Source organism: Homo sapiens, chromosome 9, assembly GCF_000001405.40.
Source record: "Homo sapiens chromosome 9, GRCh38.p14 Primary Assembly".
Lineage (NCBI taxonomy): Eukaryota > Metazoa > Chordata > Mammalia > Primates > Hominidae > Homo > Homo sapiens.
The window spans coordinates 97,873,561-97,895,273 of NC_000009.12; the positions used below are offsets into that span (position 1 = coordinate 97,873,561).

A 21,713-nucleotide genomic window follows, 5' to 3' on the forward strand; every position below is an offset into this window, starting at 1 on the left:
GTATGGTGATTCCTGCCATCTTCCCCTTGTCACCACCTGTGCCAAGTGTGATGGCCACCTCCAGATAACACCATGTGTTCAGAACATCATGGCGACCGACATTTGCATATTAAAGGGCTAAGGTGGGAAGGCCAGGTTGTTCATGGGCTACGTGAATGACACACCTGGTCAAACCAATCCCCTGAGACCTATGCAAACCAGACACTGCCTCCTCCAGCCTCCCTATATAATGGACTGCCTTTGTGCTGCACACAGGGTTTCTCTTTGTTCCAAGTCCTCCTCCCTTGTCTTTGTATGAGGGAGCTGGTCTCTTTTTTCTTCCTTCTTTCTTGCCTATTAAACTTTTTGCTCCTTAAAACCAAAAAAAGAAAAAATACTTTTTGGCTAGTTCAGCACACGCACCAACCAGTCGGAGTGGACACCCAGCCAATCGGAACAAATGCCAGCTGTCAACAACAGGAAACACTGTACTGTACCTGACTTAGTGCAAAGGGGCCTGGGAAATGGAGTTGCTGGCTGAGCAATTGTTGTGCAGTGATGACTCACCCTGTGGCACCAGATGCACCCATCCTGGTGGACGGCTAGCTGGCCCTGCCTCAAATCACATAAGGTACCACAAGCTTCCATCTCAGGTGTCTGCTTTCAACCCCTGCATGTCCCCTCCACCGCACCCTATCATCAAGGCCAGCTAGTCCACCCAAACCATTTCAATGGCAGCGAATGACACACCTCCAATGTAGTTAAGGAGGGGCAGGTGAGGGAAACTCTCATCTACAGTGGATTCTCAAGTCAGCACACCCACCCCAGCCTTCCCGCTCTTTGCTATTAGACAAACGATGAAACTAAGAGAGGAAAAAGGCCCTCCTTGGGATTACCCAGCAAGTCAGGAGTAGCCCAGGACTCTGGCTGCCTGCACAAGGCTGGCAGCAGCGGGACATGTCAGCCCACCTTTCATGGAAGCAGCCCAGGGAATTAGTCCTGATGCCAACGCCCAGCTCTGGAGTTCCTGACACCTTTTCTTGGATCTAGGCCCTTTCAAAAGGAGCATTTCAAATAAGAGCCATCAACACTTACAGAGGGTGGGTCTTAATCCATAGAGGATCATTAGCTTCACCCAAGTGATGGGCCATCCATCAGCACCTCCCCTTTTTCCACCAATTATCTATCTGCTAATTATCCGGGATTAAGAATTGACACGGAGCGACATGGTCATTAACCACATATTTGCACAGCTTATTCATGTTAGTTGGGCTGCTCCATCTCACTGAGTCTAATTGGACACGCCCACAATGCTGCACAACACATTTACATCGACCTGGCTGTCAGCAGCCAATAAAGGACTACAGGATGTGTTTGGTTCCAAAGGGACTTGGCTCTCGGCAGAAGCTTGTTTGCAGGCACACTGGGTGTCTTGGCTTTCTGGCACTGTGGACTACAGCTTAACTCAGAGCATACATTCAATCATTTCTCAAACATTTGTTAGCTCAAGCACTGTACCAGGCACAGCACTGGCCCTAGCAGGGTCTACAAAGATGAACCAGGCACCATTTCTGCCACCTCGAGGAGGTTTACCTTCTGCCCTCCATGATGTGACCCTGTCTAGCAGGCCCCCTCCTGCCCACCTGGGGCATGTGTGCCATCTACCAGCCCACTCCACATTCTCTGCGCAGGTCTCTGTGCTCTTCCTTCAGCCTGGAATTCTTCTGTCCACCTGGCTCTGTCTGAAGACGCCACCTCCTCTGTGAGGCCTCTCCTGATTTCTGAGACCACACAAATCTCTCCCTGGGCTGCGTTTTCATGGCATGCTGCCTTCAGTCAAGGGAACACATGCAAGCAGAAAGAGCTCAGAGCTGTGTGAGAAAGAAAAGCAGCATGTGTGGTCTCAGAAATCAGAAGAGGCCTCACGGAGGAGGTGGCATCTTCAGACAGAGCCAGGTGGACAGAGGGATTCAGGCTGAAGGAGTAGCACAGAGATCAGCAAGGAGAATGGTCTAGTGCGTGGCACACATAGTACTGATGGGAAGGGTGTGGCCTGGCAGGCAGGGTCACATCATGGAGATCTATGAGTGTTCTGTTAGGGTCTGGAAGTTTCTCCTCAGGGCATGAGGAACCATGGAAGAGATTTTGTTTTTTCAGTGTGTATGCATAGGTGGATGTGTTTTAGTAAACTTTTTATTGAAATGTAACATATGTATAGAAAAGTACAAAATTTTTCACAAACTGACCGCATCTACGTAATAGCACTCAGATTAAAACAATAACAAATTATTACTAAAACTCCAGAGATCCACTCTGGCCTCTTTCAGGAACTACTTACATACAAGAAAAATAACCATCCTAACATCATAAACTAGTTTTCACTATTTTCTTGTGTGTGGCTTTTTTCACTCCACATATGTTTGCAAGACTCCCCCATGTTGTTAGACATAAATGCACTTTGTTCTTGCTCATTGCTGGTTGATATCCCATTGTATGGATGCACTGCAATTGTTGATGAGCTTTGTGCAGTTTCCAGTTTGGGGCTGTAAACCTTCCTGCACATGCCTTTACGTGCTCCTCTGGGGGTAAATCTGTTGCATGCATATCTAGGAGTGGAATTGCTGGGTTGTGGGCTATGCATATATCTACTTGAGTAGATACTTCTAGTTTCCCAAAGTTGTTCTACCCATGTACACGCCCACCAGGGATGCACAGGAGTTCTCATTGCTCTATATTCTTGTCAACACTTGGTATTGTCAGTCTTTTTGTGTTTTATGCTTGTTTTTTTTTTTTTAGGGGAATGACCACCTGGTGGAGGTGGAGTCCCACTTGGGTTGAAGTATACTCACTCTGGCAGGAATGAAATCAGTGGTAATAGAGCTAGAATGAAAAAGGCCAATAAGAAGAGACGCCATAGAAGTGGAATACACAGGACTTGCACACAAGGTAGAAATGAACTTAAGAGGGAGATGGAGGAAGGTTTCTGTATGGGGTGGCTGGCTGGATGAGGGACTTCAGATTTGAAGCCAGGAGAAAACATCCCAATTTTATAACATCATGTTTGAAATGTAGGACAATGAGATGAAGATGTCCAATAAACTGTTAGCTATATGAGTCTGTTGCTTAGGGATGAGGTCAAGGCTGTAGACAGAGTTAGGAGTTATCACAGAGATGGGGGTTGAGGCTGGGGGGTGGCTGAGATTTCTCAGGTGGTTGTGTGCAATGAAAGAGACAAGGGCTGAAGACCAGACGCCTGGCTTAGGGGATGAGCGGAGGAAGAACAAGAGACAACATCGCTTCCCTCTGAAATGCTGGCACGGGCTGCGAAGCATGAGTCAGACCCTTCTAGCCCCAGCAGCAGCCTCAACAGCCTGGGTCTATCTCACCAGCCACACAGTTTTCTCCTGAATGAACTTGCATCACTAACCTCAGAAGCTGTGTTGCGAAATCCGCATCAGATTGCGTACCTCTGGTGGCGTCCTAGGGACAATGGGCACTAAAGACTCATAGCATCCTGGGGTTGGAGTCCTCCTCTCCGCCTCCACAACATCCCTGCCAATCAGTTATCGAGCACCCCAGGCAGGGAACTCATAACTTCCCACGGCATCCCATTTCCTTGTTGAGCAAGTGAAGATCTAAGAAAACCTTTTCTTGCAATCTCACGATACTGAAAAGTCAAAGAAAAAGATAACGCTATAATTTAATGGTAATGATCCAGGACAGAGTGAAATGCAAGGACTCTGCATCCTGGAAAATCCATGTCTATTAATGTACCCATCAGCATCTTCTTGCTGGGGTTAGGGTCATGGTGTTTGACTCCCCACAGGAAGCTGCAGTGATTTCATTACTATTTGCACACTGGTTGGGAATGTGCTCATCCGCTGCAGGCATTCCTCTGGCTTCATCAAGCAGTGAGTACAAGGGCCCTGGAATCTGGCCAGTCTCTCAGGACTGAAGCAGTGCATGCTACAGCACAAATCTACCAGGCTGGACACGTGGGAAGAATGAGCGGCTGTTAGATGAGAGCGAGCCCACTGCAAGCAAAGAGGGCAGAATGCCATTCTGTTCAACATTTTTTTCTGCGTGTTTAGCAGCATGTGGTCCTGTGTGGGTCTCTGGAGAAGAAGAAAGAAGATGGATCTAAGAAATGGTTCTCACCCAGCTGGGCACAGTGGCTCACGCCTGTAATCCCAGCACTTTGGGAGGGAGAGGCAAGTGGCTCACCTGAGGTCAGGAGTTCGAGACTAGCCTGACCAATATGGTAAAACCCTGGCTCGAATAAAAATACAAAAGAATGGCCAGGCTCTGTGGCTCATGCCTGTAATCCCAGCACTTTGGGAGGCCGAGGCAGGCGGATCACAAGGTCAGAAGTTCGAGACCAGCCTGGCTAGCATAGTGAAGCCTCATCTCTACTAAAAAATACAAAAATTAGCCAGGTGTCGGGGCAGGCGCCTATAGTCCCACCTACTCAAGAGGCTGAAGCAGGAGAATCGCTTGAACCAGGAAGGTGGTTGCACTGAGCCGAGATTGCACCACTGCACTCCAGCCTGGGCAACAGAGCGGGACTCCATCTCAAAAAAAAAAAAAAGAAAAGAAAAGAAAAGAAAGAAAGAAAAAGAAAAGAAAAAAAGAAAGGGTTCCCACCCTTGGGGAGATTGGTGGCAGAGGCAGAGACAGGCATGCAAAAGGAAGATGTAGCTGAAACTTTTTTTTTTCTTTTGAGATGGAGTCTTGCCCTGTCACCCAGGCTGGAATGCAATGGCACAATCTCAGCTCACTGCAAACTCTGCCTCCCAGGTTCAAGCGATTCGCCTGCCTCAGCCTCCTGAGTAGCTGAGATTACAGGTGCGTGCCACGATTCCTGGCTAATTTTTGTATTTTTTAGTAGAGATGGGGTTTCACCATGTTGGCCAGGCTGGTCTTGAACTCCCGACCTCAGGTGATCCACCCGCCTCGGCCTCCCAAAGTGCTGGGATTACAGGCATGAGCCACTGCACCTGGCCCTTTTGCTTTATTTTTATAAATTAAGTTGGCAGTGTTTTTTTTTTCACAAGGTAATATTTATAAAGTGTTTTTACAATAAAATAGTATTGGCTGGGCACAGTGGCTCACGCCTGTAATCCCAGCACTTTGGGAGGCCAAGGCAGGTGGATCATATGAGGCCAGGAGTTCGAGACCAGCCTGGCCAACGTGGTGAAACCCTGTCTCTACTAAAAATACAAAAATTAGCCGGGCATGGTGGTGCATGCCCGTAATCCCAGCTACTTGGTAGGCTGAGGCACAAGAATCACTTGAACTCAGGGGGCAGAGGTTGCAGTGAGTCAAGATTGCACCACTGCACTCCAGCCTGAGTGACAAAGTGAGACCCTGTCTCAGGAAAAACAAAGAAACAAAGAGATAAAAATAAAATAGTATTAAAAGGATTTTTTTAACAAAAGCCTGTGGTCCCTTGGCCTAGCCTACTCTACCTCTGAGTCCTATTTTCAGGAGGTAGCAACTTCCAACTCTTTAAGCTTCCTCTTATGTTGGTTACCTGCAAATTTCTAAGTCATAAGCTATGTCAGAGACTAACAGCCCTCCACAATCCATGTTCTCTTTTTCCTGGGTGTACAGCTAGATCTCATTCTTCAGCTCCTGCTCCTGTCTCCTCTTCCTCCTTCCAGGCCCCCAGCCCCAAAGTTAGAGGCAATTGAGCTCTAGCCAATGAAATGTGAGCAGAAGTGCTAGTGCCACTTCTAAGCCTGGTCCCTAAAACCACCATGTTCACCCATGTGCTCCTCTATGATCTTTCTTCTTATTTTTTATTTATTTTTTTTTTTGAGGGAGTCTCATTCTGTCGCTCAGGCTAGAGTGCAGTGGCGCAATCTCAGTTCACTGCAACCTCCATCTCACAGGTTCAAGCAATTCTCCTGCCTCAGCCTCCTGAGTAGCTAGGACTACAGGCAAACGCCACCACACCCGGCTAATTTTTTGTATTTTAGTAGAGACGGGGTTTCACCATGTTATCCAGGCTGGTCTTGAACTCCTGAGCTCAGGCAATCTGCCCACCTCAGCCTCCCAAAGTGTTAGGATTACAGGTGTGAGCCACCATGCCCAGCCTATGATCTTTCTTGTTATGGCTGCCTGGAATGGAGATGATGTCCTTGCAGGCTCTGGAAGCCACATACTAAAAGATGAAAGAGCATTCATTAGGCTGGGTACAGTGGTTCACGCCTGTAATCCCAGCACTTTGGGAGGCCAAGAAGGGCAGATTGCTGGAGCTCAGGAGTTCGAGACCAGTCTGGGCAATGTGGTGAAGCCCCAACTCTACTAAAAATACAAAAATTAGCTGGGCGTGGTGGCGCATGCCTATAATCCCAACTACTCGGGAGGCTGAGGCACAAGAGCATGCCACTGCACTCCAGCCTGGGCGACAGAGTGAGAATCCATCTCAAAAAAAAAAAAAAAAGAAAAAAGAAAAAAAAAAGCATTCATCAGCCAGTGTCTGAATGAGGGAAAGAAGGAAGACTGACCTACCAGTCTGCTTCTACCTGCCCAGTACTATTATGAAAAAAGAACTCTATTATGTTTGAGTCAGTGTGCATATTGGCATCTATTTGTTAAAGCAATTAGACTCCCCTATTATATATCCATATATTGATTATCAAGTAGGAAATGCACTAGTAACAGAAACCTAAAGATACAGTGTTATTTTCTCTGATGTCAAAAGGAGTTCAGAGGTAATATTGCAGTCTATGATGCCAAAAGGACCTGGCTCCTTACAGCTTTCCCTTTTATAGCTGTGATCTTCAGGGGTGACCCTATACCTCTGTCTTAGTCTTTTCAATAGAGTTGCCAGAGCTCCAGCCATATGTCTGCAACTAGGGCAGGAGTAAGTAGATGGATGAAAAGGCACAAAAGAAAAGTGCTAGTTGAGTCAACCTTCTTTTTTTTTTTAAATGTATCATGGCTCACTGCAGCTTGACCTTTCCGGGCTCAAGAGACCTTCCCACTTCTGCCTGCCAAGTGGCTGTAGCTAGGACTACACTGACGCACCACCACGCTGGACAATTTTTTTTTCCATAAAGACAGAGTCTTGCTACATTGCCCAGGCTGGTTTTGAACTCCCAAGCTGAAGCTATTCCCCTGCCTCTGCCTCCCAAAGTGTTGGGATTACAGGCATGAGCCACTGTACCTGGACAACCCGCTTGACTGCTTACATTTCAACATCACTGCCAGGGACCTCTCCTTACATTTCAATGGCTACAATTGTGTCACAAGGCCACCCCCACTGCAGAAAAGATGGGCAGATTTTTAATTTTTAGCTGAATGCTCAGCTTCCTCAAGTAAAATCAGTGTTCTGTTAGTAAATAAGAGGAAAAGGATATTATATAGGTTACAGTAGTTGTTATCTGTAATTGCAATCTCAAAATTCTTTAATTGTAGAAGATGTGTTTTTTGTTTGTTTGATTGATTGATTGATTTTTTTCTGAGACAGAGTTTCACTCTTGTTGCCCAGGCTGGAGTGCAGTGGTGCAATCTCAGCTCACTGCAGCTTCCACCTCCTGGGTTCAAGCGATTCTCCTGTCTCAGCCTCCCGAGTAGCTGGGATTACAGGTGCCCGCCACCACACTCGGCTAATTTTTTTGTATTTTTAGTAGAGACGGGATTTCACAATGCTGACCAGGCTGGTCTCAAACTCCTGACCTCAGGTGATCCACCTGCCTCGGCCTCCCAAAGTGTTGGGATTACAGGCGTGAGCCACTGGCCCAGCAAAGATGTGTTTTGAGTTCCAACTGAAAAAGATAAAGATTTGCCTCTCTACCCACTTCTCTCCAGTTTATTCCTACCACTGTCTACCAAAATAGTTACATCTACATCATAGCTGTCCAGTGTTTACTATACGAGTATATTATGATGCATCAAGCTTATTTTCTGATAAGCCAAGCAATAAATATGTCACATTTCTTATATAATTTTTGTTTTTCTTAAGTTTATCTACCTCCTCTCAATATTTATATCCTAACTAATGCACCTTGCATATCTGAAAATGAATTTTTCTACCTTCATACTTCATTGATAGTTTCATTGGGTATTAAATTCTAGGTTGGAAATAATTCTCACTCTGAATCTTGATGGCATGGCTCCATTGCCTTCTAGAAATGATGCCATTATTCTTTCTAATCCTTTCTGCAACCCATTTTTCTCTGTAAGATTATAGGATTTTCTCTATTTCTTTGTGCTCTGTAATTTCACAGTGATGTATCTTAATATAAGGCTTTTCTCATTTGTTGTATGGGGTACTTGATAGGACCTTTCATTTTTGAGATTCATACCCTACAATTCTAGGACATTTCCTATGTTACTTCCTTAACACATCTCTCCTCATCACATCTCCTGTTCTCTCTGGGTCTCTTAATAGTTGAATGTACAATCCCTTATAATAATCATAGAATTTTCTATTCTCTCATATTGTCCATCTCATTGCCTTTTGTTTCCACTTTTGATATTGTGCGCTTTATGATAATACCTGGTCACCTAGTCTTATTGTCAATACTGTGCATGGGCTTGAGGATTTGCTATTAAGTTGTTCTCAAAATTCTGCATTTATCACTATCTTCCCAGAATGTATCCCTTATTCTTAAAACATAGCATTACTTGATATATAATTTCAATTCAACAAACATTTGCCTTTAGCATTGTGAAAAGGACTTTATTTTCTTGTGAGTCCATAAATGTATTTTAAATTATTTTGCTCTAATTTATCTACCATTTGGGTTTTTGCAGTGGGAGAGCTAAACTACTGGAAATAAAAATTTCATATAATTTGTTTGCTAAATGGGATTCTGTATCAGGCTTATTTTCAAATTTTATATGAAGCCTCTGCCAAACACTGTTTTTTTCTTATTTTTAGAATTAATTTTCATTTTTTATCAGAATAATGCAACTGCATTGTTTTAAAAGTCAGTTATGAGCTGCTCTGCCTATGGAGTAGCCATTATTTTATTCCTTTATTTTCTTTTAATAAACTGGCTTTCACTTTTTAAAAAAAAAGTCAATTATGAATAATCAAAAAATGAAATTGGGCTGAGCACGGTGGCTCACACCTGTAATCCTAGCACTTTGGGAGGCCAAGGCGGGAGGATTGCTTGAGCCCAGGAGTTTGACACCAGCCTGGGCTATATGGTGAGACTGTATCTACAAATTTTTTTTAAAATTAGGCAGGTATGGTGGCATGCACCTGTGGTCCCAGCAATTTGGAAGGCTGAGGCAGAAAGATTGCTTGAGCCCAGGAGAAGGTTAAGGATGCAGTGGGCTGTGTTCATGCCACTGCATTCCAGCATAGGTGACAAACAGAGGCCCTGTCTCAAAAAATAAAAATAAAAACACACAAAAAAACTACAAAATGACAGCAATGAAAACCATTCCATTTATCTATATGTCTATCCTTATGCCTTACTGGCATAATCAATAGTCGTTGATTTTCAACCAGTGTGCCTTCAGTGGAAATCAATAGTCATTGATTTTCAACAAATGTACGTTAAATGGAAAAAGAATTGCCTTTTCAACAAATAGTGCTGAGACAACTGGATATCCACATGCAAAAGAATGAATTCAGATCCCTACCACACACCATATGCTAAAACTAACTCAAAATGGAATAAAGACCTTAATGTTTATAGACAATGTTATAAAACTTATAAAAGAAAACACAGATGTATATCTTTGTGATGTTGGATTACTCAACAGTTTCTTAGATATAATACCAAAAACAAAGCACAGTAACAAAAGAAAAAACAGATAACTGGACTTTATCAAAACTAAAAACTTTGCATGTGAAAGGACACTGTCAAGAAAGTAGAAAGACAAAGAATGAGAGGAAATATGTGCAAATCATGTATCTGATAAAGGTCTAATAGCCAGAATATACATATTTTTAAACTCTCACAACTCAACAATAAAAAAATTTGAAAATTAGTAAAGTACTTCAATAGACATTTGTCCAAAGAAGATATACAAATGGCCAATAAGAAATGAAAAGATGTTCATTATTAGTCTTTAGGAAACTAGAAGTCAAAACCACAATGAGAATTTGGAATCTTTGTGCATTGCTGTAGTAATGTAAAATGGTACAGCCACTGTGGAAAACAGTTTGGCAATTTCTCAAAAAGCTCAACATAAAACTAGCAAATGACCCAGCAATTCTATTCCTAGGTATACACCCAAGAAAAATGAAAGCATATGTACATACAATAACTTGTACATGAATGTTCATAGCAGCATTAATCATAACAGCCAAAAAGTGAAAACAGCCTAAATGTCCATCAACTGATAAATGCATAAACGAAATGTGGTATATTTATATGACGGAATATCATTTAGCCATAAAAAGGAATGAAGTACTGATACATATTACAACATGAAAAAAAATTGAAAACATTAGGTTAAGTGAAAGGAACCAGACACGAAAGGCCACATATAATCTAATTCCATTTATACGAAATATCCAAAATAGCCAAATCCACAGAGAAAGAAAGATTAGTAGTTATTAGGGACTTAGGGGGAGGGTGAAATAAGAAGTGACTGATAATGGTTACACAGGATTTCCTCAAGGAATTATGAAATGTTCTGGAATTAGATAGTGGTGATGATTGTAGAACTCTGAAACTATCCTAAAAAACACCTAATTGTACACTTTAGGCCAGGCACAGTGGCTCACACCTATAATCTCTGCGCTTTGGGAGGCCTAGGTGGGAGGATCGCTTGAAGCCAAGAGTTCAAGACTAGCCTGAGCAACATAGTGAGATCCTGTCTCTACAATTTTTAAACATTAGTCAGTGTGGTGGTACACACCTATAGTCGCAGCTACTTGGGAAGCTTAGGTGGTAGGATTGCTTGAGCCCAGGATTTCAAGGCTGCAGTAAGCTATGATTGCACTACTGCACCCCAGCTTGGGCAACAGAGTGAGACCCCATTTCTTAAAAAAATAATTAAGCCATCAAAGTGTACTAAAACGGTGAATTTTATAGTATGTGAATTATATCTCAATTTTTTTTTTTTTTTTTTTTGAGACAGAGTCTCGCTCTGTCAGCCAGGCTGGAGTGCAGTGGCACAAGTTCGGCTCACTGCAACCTCTGCCTCCCGGGCTCAAGCAATTCTCCTGCCTCAGCCTCCCAAGTAGCTGGGATTACAGGCATGTGCCACCATGCCCAGCTAATTTTTGTATTTTTAGTAAAGACGGGGTTTCACCATGTCATCCATATCATTGTCTTTCACCTCCATATTTTGTTCCACTGGAAGGTTTTCAGGGACAATAACACACACGGAGCTGTCCTCTCCTATGATAACAATGCCTTCTTCTAGAACGCCTCCTGGAGGATCTACCTGAGGCTATTTTACTTCTTTTTACATAAGTAGAAAGAGTATGCTCTAAAATAATGATTAAAAGTATGGTATAATAAATACATAAATCAGTAACATAGTTGTTTGTTATTGTTGTTGTTATTTTTTAAGTTGAAACAGAGTCTGGCTCTGTTGCCCAGGCTGGAGTGCAGTGGTGGGATCTCGGCTCACTGCAACCTCCACCTCCCAGGCTCAAGCCATCCTCCCACCTCAGCCTCCCGAGTACCTGGGACTACAGGCACACATCACCATGACTGGCTAATTTTTGTATTTCTTATAGAAATGTACAGATGAGTTTTCACCATGTTGCCCAGGCTGGTTTCAAACTCAAGCCATACCCCATCTCAGCCTTTTGAAGTGCTGGGATTACAGACATGAGCCATTGTACCCAGCCCATAGTCATTTATTATCAAGTATTATGTACTATACATCGTGTATATGCTATACTTTTATAAGACTGGCAGTGCATTAGGTTTGTTTATACCAGCATCACCCCAAACACATGAGTAGTGCATTGTGCTATGATGATACGACGGCTGGATCTTGCTAGGCGATAGGAATTTTTCAGCTCCATTATAATCTCATGGGACCACCACCATATATTGCAGCCCATTACTGACATAAACATACTTAGGTTATGACTGTACTTGGGTTAAAGATGATAATTACTGTAATTGGTTGACTATTCTAAGAATAATAATTATAGATAAATACAAACATGTATGCAATATAATGGATATGATTAATGTTTATTTTTAAAAGTTGTTTCAGTTTATTCAGCTAGTAAATATACACATATCTTGTTTTATTTAATATACTGATACTTTGTGTTTCAAAGCGATAGACATAAGCTTTAGATTTAGTAGTCATTTGTATTTTTATATAACAGCATATATCTAGGTATAAAAGGATATCAGTAAATCCTTTATTATACATCATTATGTAATGCTTATGTAAAATTACTCGAATATTTTATGCCCACATTAGTAAAGTTTCTTTTGTGTCACCAAAATATTTTTTTAACTCTTGGTGCTTTCTACCATACTTAGTTAAGTTCCTAATAATCATTGCTCCTAGGCTGGGCACAGTGGCTCAGCACGTGGGTGGGGAGGATTGCTTGAGCCCAGAAGTTCAAGACCAGCTGGGCAATATAAGGAGCCCTTGTCTCTACCAAAAAAAAAAAAAAATACAAAAATTAGCCAGGCATGGTGGTGCATGCCTGCAGTCCCAGCTACTCAGGAGGCTAAGGTGGGAGAATCACTTGAGCCCAGGAAGCGAAAGTTGCAGTGAGCTGAGATTGTGTCGCTACACTCCAGCCTGGGTGACAGGGCTAGACCCTGCCTCAAAAAAAAAAAAAAATTTGTTCCTTATTGCCATGTGTTACAATGTCACCTGCCTTGTCTTTAAATACTTATGGTTTACACAGGTAAACCTTGCTTTATTGAACTTCACTCTATTGTGCTTTGCAGGTATTTCATTTTTTTTTTTTTTTTTTGAGACGGAGTCTCACTCTGTCGCCCAGGCCGGACTGCGGACTGCAGTGGCGCAATCTCGGCTCACTGCAAGCTCCGCTTCCTGGGTTCACGCCATTCTCCTGCCTCAGCCTCCTGAGTAGCTGGGACTACAGGCGCCCGCCACCGCGCCCGGCTAATTTTTTGTATTTTTAGTAGAGACGGGGTTTCACCTTGTTAGCCAGGATGGTCTCGATCTCCTGACCTCATGATCCACCCGCCTCGGCCTCCCAAAGTGCTGGGATTACAGGCGTGAGCCACCGCGCCCGGCCAGGTATTTCATTTTTTACAAATTGGAGGTTTGTGGCAACCCTGCATCAAGCAAGTCTATCAGTGCCCATTTTTCAACAGCATATGCTCACTTCATGTATCTGTGCCAGCATTTTTTAGCAATGAAGTATTTTTTACTTTTGTGGATACATAGTAGGTGTACATATTTATGGGCTACATGAGATATTTTGATACGGGCATGCAACATGAAATAAGCACATTGTGAAGAAGGGGTATCCATCCCCTCAAGCATTTACCCATTGAATTGCAAACAAACCAATTACACTCTAAGTTATTTTAAAATGTACAGCTATTATTAACTATATAGTCACCCTATTTTGCTATCAAATAGTAGGTCAGATTTATTCTTTTGAACATTTTTAATAAAGCATTTTAAATTATAGTTTTTTTTAGACATAATGCTATTGCACATCAACTTTTATGTGCACTGGGAAACCAAAAAATTTATTTGATTTGCTTTATTGAAATATTTGCTTTATTACAGTGGTTTGGAATCGAACCTATAATATTTCCAAAGTATGCTGGTATCTTGTCTCCTCTAACTACACACACACACACACACGCATATATATATACATAGAGAGAGAGAGAGGGACTTGCTCTGTTGCCCAGGCTGGAGTGCAGTGGCACGATCTCGGCTCCCCACAACCTGCACTTCCCGGGTTCAAGCAATCCTCCTGCCTCAGCCCCCCAAAATAGCTGGGATTACAGGCATGCACCACCACACCCGGCTAATTTTTAGTGTTTTTACTAGAGGTGGGGTTTCTCCACGTTGGCTAGGCTGGTCTTGAGCTCCTGACCTCAAGTGGTCTGACTGCCTCGGACTCCCAAAGTGCTGCGATTACAGGCGTGAGTCACTACGTCGGGCCATCCTCTAATCATCTTTTCTTGATTTTTGCCTTTCCCAAATCCAGGTTTCATATTCAAAACAACAAAATTGTTAAGATGTTTTCATATCTAAACAACATTTGGGTGTTCTAAAGTAACCACCAGGTAACACAATGGTTTGCTCCTATACTACCTATGAAAGGAATGACGAAAGGAATAATTAGGTTTGTATAGAATATTGTGCATTATAGTCATAACTGCTGTGAGAACTCCCAAATCAGGGTGGTGTGCAGGTTAGGGCAGAGTTTTGGGAGAGGCGAACTGTTCTGTACAAAAAGGAGAAGAATCATAATGCTGAGGGGAGGGGAGGGACCTGGGAGAGGGGAGTGAGCAGCAAGCAGGGTGGGGCACCACCTGAATGAAGGACAGAAGGTGAGAGCCCTTAGGGGCACAGCAGCACAAAAGACTTTGGGAGAAAAGGAATTAATAAGAGGGAATTTTTAAGTTGTTTGTCATGGTGTGTGCTATGGGCCTCCTTCCCTCTTGTCACTCTTACACTGTCTTTAGAAAAGTCATTCTTTTTTTGTGAAAGGGGATTCTCCAGGGAGTATTGAAGGATGCAGGGATGAATTGTTTGTTTCTGAAATGGAGTCTTGCTCTGTCACTCAGGCTGGAGTGCAGTGGTGTGATCTCAGCTCACTGCAACCTTCACCTCTTGGGTTCAAGTGATTCTCATGCCCCAGCCTCCTGAGTAGCTGGGGTTACAGGCATATGCCACCAGGCCTGGCTAATTTTTGTATTTTTAGTAGAGACAGGGTTTCACCATGTTGGCCAGGCTAGTCTCTAACTCCTGACCTCAAGTGATCTGCTCACCTCGGCCTCCCAAACTGCTGGGATTACAGGGGTGAGCCACTGCACCTGGCCTGCATGCAAGGCAAAAACACATCATGAAGGGAAGCTGGAATGGAAGTCTCCAGGGTAAATTCCTGGAAATGAGCAAGACTTTCAAAAGCTGTGGAATTGAGGGGGTGTCAAGCTGAGATCTCAAGGGGTAATGGACCCAATTAATGTCTAGGTTCTAGGTGGGAGAAATAGGAAGTAGCACAAGGGATATATCTGACATGATGATAAGATGGAGTTGGAGAACAGGAAGGCCCAGAGAAGGGTGGGGAGATTTAGAAGGAGCTGGAGGGTTAAGGGTCTTCTGGACTAAATAGTCGGGGTGGGGGAAACTATGAGTTAAGCTGGCAGTCTGTCCTTCCCGTCCCACCCTACAGAAACCGAAGGCCAGACTCCAGCAGAGATTGAATCTTTTTTTTTTTGTCTCTCTTCCCACTTGTCTAAATGAATTATTATGTTAGCCCAGAGAGACAACTGAGATGGGAACTCTCAGGAAAAAAGAGGGCATCATCTTTATGGACATGGAGGGGTTACGGTTGAGACTAGGGCTTCTATCCAATACTCACAGACCATCTACCTGGATGTGGTAGAGGGGTTCAGGAAAAATTCCCAGCCAGGGACTGGATTATTAAGAGTTCAGAATAACCGAAGGGGAGCAGAGTCTTCGCCCTGTTTGTCAGTCCCCTCCATTTAGGTGTGCTGGCCAAGCCTTTCCTCCATTTTAGGGCTGATCTGGATAGTAATGCTGAGCCTCTGAAAGGTTCCAGTCGGAGGCTGGAGCCCTAGTGCTGTCCTTGTGGAGCTGAATCCCATCTCATGGAGCAAACCCTATTAGAGATTTTGTCCCCTTCCTCGAGAGGAATACACAGATAACCCTTTTCTAAGGTTTTCAAAAGAAGAAAATAGAAAAACACTTTTACCCACATTACAAATGAATAAAAAGGAAGTAACATAGAGCTCCACTCCTGCAGCGGAGAAAGACTATCCATGAGTATAGTCTGCCTAGAGAGGAGAGACAGCATTGGACCTCAGCCCTCCTTCCTTTCTTGTCTTTCAGCATCAATGCAGAGAAAAGAGGAGCAGCAAAGAGGGTGCATTTCCAGGTTAGTGTCTTAGTCCGTTTGGGCTGCAATAACAGAATACCATAGGCCCATAGACTAGGTGGCTTAAATTGATCTCTCACACTGCTGAAGGGTGCAAATGCCAAAATCAGGGCACTGGCAGATTCAGTATCCGGTGACGCCCACTATGTCCTCACATGGTAAAACAGACAATGGGGTTCTCAGGGGTCTCTTTTATTAGGCCACTAATTCCACTCATGAAGGCTCCTCCCCCACAATCTACTCACCTCCCAAAAGCCTCGCTTCCTAATACTGTTGGACCGGGGATTAGGATTTCAACACATGAACTAGGGGGATATAAACATTCAGTCAATAGTAGAAGGTTCTGCCTGTTCAGCCCAGAACTCTCAAGGTCTAAACTTAATCTCTCCTTTCCCATGAGGACCCCGGTCCACAGCCTCTGAGGCTGTGTCAGCTTCTAGAGCCCATTACTCTCAGAAGATAAAGCCCCCAGCAGGGACACTCATAAAAAGGAATCCGAATCTGGAGTGCTTAGGAGATTGCCTGCTCTGTCCATCCCCTGAAATGAAAGAATGATGGAGCCGGCCCATGGGTCTCACCCACTAGATGGCGCTGTGAGGTGCAGTGGGAAGAGTAGCTGGAGGCAAACCTTTGAGATTCAGATTTTGGACAAATATTTAACTTCCTGGAGGCTCAGATTCCTCCTTGAGATACACTTGGCCTGTATCCCCCACAACACAGGTATGTAGATCATACGGGATAACGTGTAAGAAAGCACTTTCAAGTATAACACGTGGTGACATACTTGAGCCTGTGGACTGTTGTCACTGACCACTCCACCCTGTGTACCAGAGGCTGGGGCTGTCAGAGTCTAGTGTCCCAGGACCTTCCCCAGGCTTCTCTATGATCCCTTCACTCCTACCTTCACCACGTGTGACCAAGTCCCCTGGTTTCCCAGCTAGGAGAGATTGCCAGAAAGGAGCTCATGTTGATACTGTACTTGCTTGCTCTTTGGAAAAGCACGTATTGATTAATCTCTTCACCTTTGCTGTACCCCTTTTCCTAGCATGGCCTGTGTGACTCCAGGGCCCTAGTGCTGCTGAGGTTGGCATGGGAGGGGAATCCCATAGGAAGGGAATGTGAAAGAAAGCCCCAGCATGAGGAATAAGGGAAGTTCCACAATGCCCATGGTGTGGGAGAATGCAACTCCCACCAGGCCTGCTGGGCCTTCTATCTATCCCCATTCTGTTTTGTTTTTGTTTTTTTGTTTTAGAGTCTTGCTCTGTCACCCAGGCTGGAGTGCAGTGATGCAGTCTCACCTCACTGCAACCCTTTACCTCCTGGGTTCAAGCAATTCTCCTACCTCAGCCCCCTGAGTAGCTGGGATTACAGACACCTGCCACCACACCTAGCTAATTTTTGTATTTTTTGTAGTGACAGGGTCACCATGTTTGCCAGGCTGGTCTCAAACTCCTGACCTCAAGCAATCCTTCTGCCTTGGCCTCCCAAAGTGCTGAGATTAAAGGTGTGAGCCATCATGCCCAGCTCCCATTCTGCTTCTGGCTGAAGCTTGTATCTCCTGACTTTTGCAGCCATCTGGGCAGGCTTCCTGATGAGGGCAGCTTGTAGCAAGATGACTCCTGCTGGGAGGGTCAAGGTTGATTGACCATACAAGCTGAACTTCTGCTGTTTATGGGGGTTGGGGAAGATGCTCCTCCTTCTGGGTCCCCTTTAACTTCCACAGCTCCTCTGCCTGGGCCCCCCCTTCCTCAGAGGCCTGTCTCTAGGGAACTCTGCCAGCAGGTATTAAGATGGTAGCTTGTCTTCCTCAGCCCTGATATCCAGGAGCTCTAGAGATACAAGTCACAAAGAGAGTGCATTTCCAGGTTAGGGAGGAGAGAAATGCAGGAGGGATTTTTCCCAAACAATGGGAAAAATAAACTGAAATCTTCTGGGTCTAATTTACAGTCAATGTCTTGCTGACATGCAAAACAACACAGGCTCCCAACCCTTGTGAAATACTGAAGACAAGTCAGTCTGGACAGTCCTCAGCAGCTCCCAGATCCCAAAACCTGGCAGAACCATTTGCAACAGGAATGGAGCCAGCTTTTCTGGGGTCTGCCCTCTGCACAGCGAGTTCCTGGAGGCTACAGTCCTGGTGTCTGGTAGTTGATCCCCAGTAGATTTTCCATTTGTCTTACTCACTGCTCTCCTAAGGGCCTCCAGCCTAATTTAGGCCAAAGAATCTGCATTGCATCCCCCGCCCCGTCCCAATCCCAGCCCCACCTCAGGCCCACCTTCAATCCTCTCCCCCATTCTAACTCTCACCCCAGATTAGGGCCTGTGGGGTATCTTTCCCTAGAGCCCAGAAAGACGTACAGTCTCTCATCCCAAGGGAAATTCAATGACTGAATTGGCACTGATTGCAAAAGCAACTAGAATATTTGTGGCATTTACTTTTTTTTGGTCCAAAGATCTCAGGAAACCTTGAATCCTTCAGCTGTCAACATTCCTCAGGATAGCGTGGCCTCTCAGACCAGAGCACCCATCTCCATCCTTGCTGGAGAATGTCCCGTCAGCAGCAGGATCTGGGGGCAAGAGGGGCACCACCATTGAAAGAGCCTCATCCAACACCAGCCCCACCTGGCACAGATACAGCCTGAGAACAAATTCTCATCCAAAGGGCAAGCGTGGACCCGTACAGTCCTCTGTGGTAAGGGTCAAAGCAGCAAGGAAAGATCTAAGCAAGATGGCATCAAAGTGCCCGGAAGCTTCCTACGAGAGGCCCAGCAAAGTTGCAGTAGGGAATGACAGGCAGAGTATGGAGCCCAACTTGAGGAAGGATAAAAAGAAAAAAAAATCTATTCTGGTGCTTAAAAAGCTACCCCATGAGGAGCCTAGGGTCTGACTTTTAGAAGGAGACAAGAAATGGCTTGAAGTGTCACTCAGGGAATGACTTATCCAGGGGTCCAAGAGAGAACCTAGACCAGAGCCATCGGAAAACACCCTAAACATTCACTTGGACAAGAAGCTGGGCGAATGTCCCAGGCTGGAGACCATGGCCATGGTTCATGACTGTTGCCAACTATATATTGCCCCCTCCTGGGAAGTCCTGTATCTTTCTAGAAACTGAAACCTTGGCACCCTCAATGAATCAGAATACTGCCTGAATACCTCTTGGAAGCTTTCCTTTCTTGATTCAAGTGCTACATAGGCACTAGAAGCCCAGGTGGTATGGTTTTGAGTGTGACAGAGGTAGAGGTATAGCTTACCTCTCAAAGTTGTTGAATCCATAAAACTTAAGGTGACAGAGGCCCAATCATGGCTCCTTCCCAGGTCCACCTTTCTCCCTCAGCACCCCATGTTTCCATGATGGCTAAGCGGAGGTTCTTTAGATCCTTGAAAGAAACCGTTAGATAAGCTGAAGCCAGGAGACAAGAGGATCACAAAAAAATTCAGTCCTCACCCCAGAGATTCCTTCCCTGCTTCCTCAGCTATAAGCAGGAAGTCCAAAAGTCCCTGAGTTTGGTCACAGAGGACCGTGAGTCCAAGAAGGAAAGCAGGCAAACTTTTAAGCTCCTTTTACCATCTTCAGGGACAAATTGTGTCAGAGTGAGACTGTTAGGGGGACAAGAGAGGCAGTCCAAAGTCACTTCAAGTCAGACAATGGCAGGACATACCCAATGGATGAGAGTGATGTCCCAGCAAACTCTGGCCATAGAAGAGCAGTACCTAGAGGCAGAGGACAGAGGGTAGAGGGTCTGAAGGGGCTCAGCACAGGGGACAGCATCTTCTCAGAGATTTCACTTTAGGAAAAAGATGTTGGAGATTTAGGGATTCCTTCAAGAGCCAAAGATGTCAAGGAGATAGGAAGTCTAAGGAGACTCCAACTCCTAAGCCACACCCAGAAGATGTCCTGAAAGCCAGTGAGCCAGGAGATATCCAGAAGCTAAATGGCCATCTGAGTGGTCAAGGGCTCCAGTGACGAAGAAATGCCCCCCATCACCAACAGTGCTGGTGCCCAAGATCCGGAATGTCTAAGCCTTAAAGATGAGTTGAGGCTCAAATTGGAGTTAAAACTGCCAAGCCAGCCTCAGGTTTCCCAATGACGTGCCCCTTGCCTCAAATAGCCTAGCTACTCCATTCCCTTATTGAGTGAGTTTTAATAGTTTGTGTCTTTCAAGGAATTGGTCTATTTCATCTAAGATATTCAATCTATGAGCATAGAGTTGTGTGTAGTATTCCCTTAATATCTTTTTAATATCTGTAAGGTCTGTAGTAATGTCATCTTTTTCATTCCTGATGTTAGTAATCTGTCTTCTCTCTTTTTTTCCTTGGCCAATCTGGCTAGAAGTTTATCAGTTTTATTAATCCTTTTAAATAACCAGCTTTTCATTTCACTAATATTCCTCTGTTGTTCCGTTTTCAATTTCATTGAGTTCTGCTACAATAAAACATTTAATTTCTGTTTTGTAATGTTTCTCTGGATGCTTTCAAAATACTTTTCATTTCCTCTCATTTCCAGTAGATTAATAATAATGTGTCTGGACATTGTTTTCTTTGAATTTATCATATTTCAGATTTGTTGAGTTTCTTCTTTTTCTTTTTTCTTGAGACAGGGCCTTGCTCTTTCACCCAGGCTGTAGTGCAGTGGTGCAATCACGGCTCACTGCAGTCTCAACCTCCCAGGCTCAAGTAATCCTTTCACCTCAGCCTCCCAAGTAGCTGAGACATGCCACCAGGCCTGGCTAACTTTTTTTTTTTTTTTTTTAAGACACCAGGATCTCCCTATGTTGGCCAGACTCGTCTCAAACTCCTGGGCTCAAGTGATCCACCACCCTTGTTCTCCAAAGTGCTGGGACTACAGGCGTGTGCCTGGCCTTGCTGAGTTTCTTAAATCTATGTATTTTTCACCAAATTTGGGGAGTGTTTAGCCATTATGTCATCAATTTTTATTTTTGCAATCAATCTTTTTCACCTCTCCTTCAGGAATACAATGGTGTGCATGACCTTTAATATTGTCCCATAAATTCTTGATGCTCTGTTCATTTTTTAAGTGTTTTTCCTCTATGTTCTTCAGATTGGATAATTTCAATTTACCTATTGCAAGTTCACTGACTCACTAATTCTTTTCTCTGTCACTTTCACTTTGATATTGAGCCCATTAAAATGAATTTTTATTTTAGATATTGTAGTGTTTAGTTCTAAAATTCCATTGGGTTCTTCTTTTGTAGTTTCTATTTCTCTCCTGAGAACTTCATCTTTCCATTCATTTCAGGAGTGTTCACCTCTAGTTCTTATAGTATAGCTGTAACAACTGCTTTAAAGTCTTTGATAATTCCAACATCTGAGTTGTCTCAGGATTGGCATCTATTGGTTGTCTTTTCCATTGATAATAGTTTAAATTTTCCTAGTACTTTTTTGAGTGATTTTGGATTATAGCTTAGACATTTTGAATACGATCATATGTCATTTAATGACAGACATACATTCTGAGAAATGCCTCATCAAACACTTTTGTCATTGTGCAAACATCATAGAGTGTACTTACACAAAACCGATGGTATAGCGTACTATGCATCTAGGCTACATGGTATATCTTATTGCTGTTAGGCTACAAACCTGTATAGCATGTTACTGTACTGAATGCTGCATGCAATTGTAACACAGTGGCATTTGTGTACCTAAATATATCTAAACAGAGAAAAGAAACAGTAAAACTATGATATCATGATCTCGA

At 43.9% G+C, this 21,713-nt stretch overlaps 2 annotated features.

Annotated features, from left to right (window-relative positions):
- Window positions 376–2,120: an enhancer, noted in NCBI's record as "VISTA enhancer hs1597". NCBI's record gives its function as "enhancer in: forebrain[4/5]" and the evidence as "EXISTENCE:transgenic organism evidence [ECO:0001131][PMID:17130149]".
- Window positions 376–4,667: an enhancer, noted in NCBI's record as "VISTA enhancer hs1717". NCBI's record gives its function as "enhancer in: forebrain[11/11]" and the evidence as "EXISTENCE:transgenic organism evidence [ECO:0001131][PMID:17130149]".